Genomic DNA, 2734 nt, shown 5'->3' on the forward strand with positions numbered 1-2734 from the left:
TTAACCCCCTCCTTAAAAGGCAAAGTGTCAAGTTTGAATTTATTAAAAAAACAAGAATTATTCACCAGCTGCCTTCCAGAGACCCATTTCCCACATAATGACACACATAGAATCAAGGTAAGGGTTGAAGAGACATCTATCATGCGAATGTAAAATAAAAAAGAAGAGGAGTTGCTATCCTTATATCAGACAAAATGGATTTTAAACCAACACAATTAACAAAGGACAAAGAAGGACGCTACATAATGATAAGGGTTAAATCCAACATGATGACTTAACTATCATACATACAAATGCACTGAACATTAGAACAACCAGATTCATAAAATAAGTACTTCTAGACCTACAATAAGACTCACAGAACCACACAATAAGAGTGGGGACTTCAACACCTCACTGACAGCATTAGAGACATCATCAAAACAGAAAACTAAAAAAGAAATTCTAGACTTAAATTTTACACTCGACCAGGTGGACCTAATAGACATCTACAAATTACTTCACCCATAAACCACAGAATATCCATTCTTCTCATCTGCACATGGAATATTCTCTAAAATAGACCATATGCTTGGCTATAAAGCAAGTTTCAATAGCCTAAAAAATAAAAAAAAATACCAAACACACTTGCAAACCACATTGGAATAAAAATACAAATCAATACAAAAAATAAGATCTCTCAAAATCACACACTTAAAGATAAATTAAACGACATGCTCCTGGATCACATTTTGTAAACAATAAAATTAAATAAAAAATTTTAAAATCCTTTGGAATAAATAAAAACAGAGACACAACATACCAACATTTCTGGGATGCAGCAAAAGCAGTGTTTGGAGGAAAGTTTATGATGCTGAATGCCTACATCAAGAAGCTAGAAAAATCTCAAATTAACTATCTAACATCACACAGAGAGGAACTAGAAAAATAAGAACAAACTAATCCCAAAGCTAGCAGAAGAAAGGAAATAACAAAACTCAGAGGAGAACTGAATAGAACTGAGACAAACAAAAAATAGGTTCTTTGCAAGAATAAACAAGATCAATTGACCACTAGCTAGATTAAGAAAGCAAAAAGTATTTTATTCTCTTTGAAGCAATTGTGAATGGGAGTTCACTCATGATTTGGCTGTCTGTTATTGGTGTATAAGAATGCTTGTGATTTTTGTACATTGATTTTGTATGCTGAGACTTTGCTGAAGTTGCTTATCAGCTTAAGGAGATTTTGGGCTGAGACGATGGGGTTTTCTAGATATAAAATCATGTCATCTGCAAACAGGGGCAATTTGACTTCCTCTTTTCCTAATTGAATACCCTTTATTTCCTTCTCCTGCCTAATTGCCCTGGCCAGAAATTCCACACTATGTTGAATAGGAGTGGTGAGAGAGGACATCCCTGTCTTGTGCCAGTTTTCAAAGGGAATGCTTCCAGTTTTTGCCCATTCAGTATGATATTGGCTGTGGGTTTGTCATAGATAGCTCTTATTATTTTGAGATACGTCCCATCAATACCTAATTTATTGAGAGTTTTTAGCAGGAAGGGTTGTTGAATTTTGTCAAAGGCCTTTTCTGCATCTATTGAGATAATCATGTGGTTTTTGTCTTTGGTTCTGTTTATATGCTGGATTACATTTATTGATTTGCGTATACTGAACCAGCCTTGCATCCCAGGGATGAAGCCCACTTGATCATGGTGGATAAGCTTTTTGATGTGCTGCTGGATTCGGTTTGCCAGTATTTTATTGAGGATTTTTGTGTCAATGTTGATCAAGGATATTGGTTTAAATTCTCTTTTTTGGTTGTGTCTCTGCCCGGCTTTGGTATCAGGATGATGCTGGTCTCATAAAATGACTTAAGGAGGATTCCCTCTCTTTCTATTGATTGGAATAGTTTCAGAAGGAATGGTACCAGTTCCTCCTTGTACTTCTGGTAGAATTCGGCTGTGAATCTATCTGGTCCTGGACTGTTTTTGGTTGGTAAGCTATTGATTATTGCCATAATTTCAGCGCCTGTTATTGGTCTATTCAGAGAGTCAACTTCTTCCTGGTTTAGTCTTGGGAGGATGTATGTGTCGAGGAATTTATCCATTTCTTCTAGATTTTCTAGTTTATTTGTGTAGAGGTGTTTGTAGTATTCTCTGATGGTAGTTTGTATTTCTGTGGGATTGGTGGTGATATCCCCTTTATCATTTTTTATTGTGTCTATTTGATTCTTCTCTCTTTTCTTCTTTATTAGTCTTGCTAGCAGTCTATCAATTTTGTTGATCCTTTCAAAAAACCAGCTCCTGGATTCATTAATTTTTTGAAGGGTTTTTTGTGTCTCTATTTCCTTCAGTTCTGCTCTGATTTTAGTTATGGAATCCAACTTACAAGGGACGTGAAGGACCTCTTCAAGGAGAACTACAAACCACTGCTCAAGGAAATAAAAGAGGATACAAACAAATGGAAGAACATTCCATGCTCATGGGTAGGAAGAATCAATATCATGAAAATGGCCATGCTGCCCAAGGTAATTTATAGATTCAATGCCATCCCCATCAAGCTACCAATGACTTTCTTCACAGAATTGGAAAAAACTACTTTAAAGTTCATATGGAACCAAAAAAGAGCCCGTATCGCCAAGTCAAGCCTTAGCCAAAAGAACAAAGCTGGAGGCATCACACTACCTGACTTCAAACTATACTACAAGGCTACAGTAACCAAAACAGCATGGTACTGGTACCAAAACAGAGATATA

Source organism: Homo sapiens, chromosome X, assembly GCF_000001405.40.
Source record: "Homo sapiens chromosome X, GRCh38.p14 Primary Assembly".
NCBI classification, from domain to species: Eukaryota; Metazoa; Chordata; class Mammalia; order Primates; family Hominidae; genus Homo; species Homo sapiens.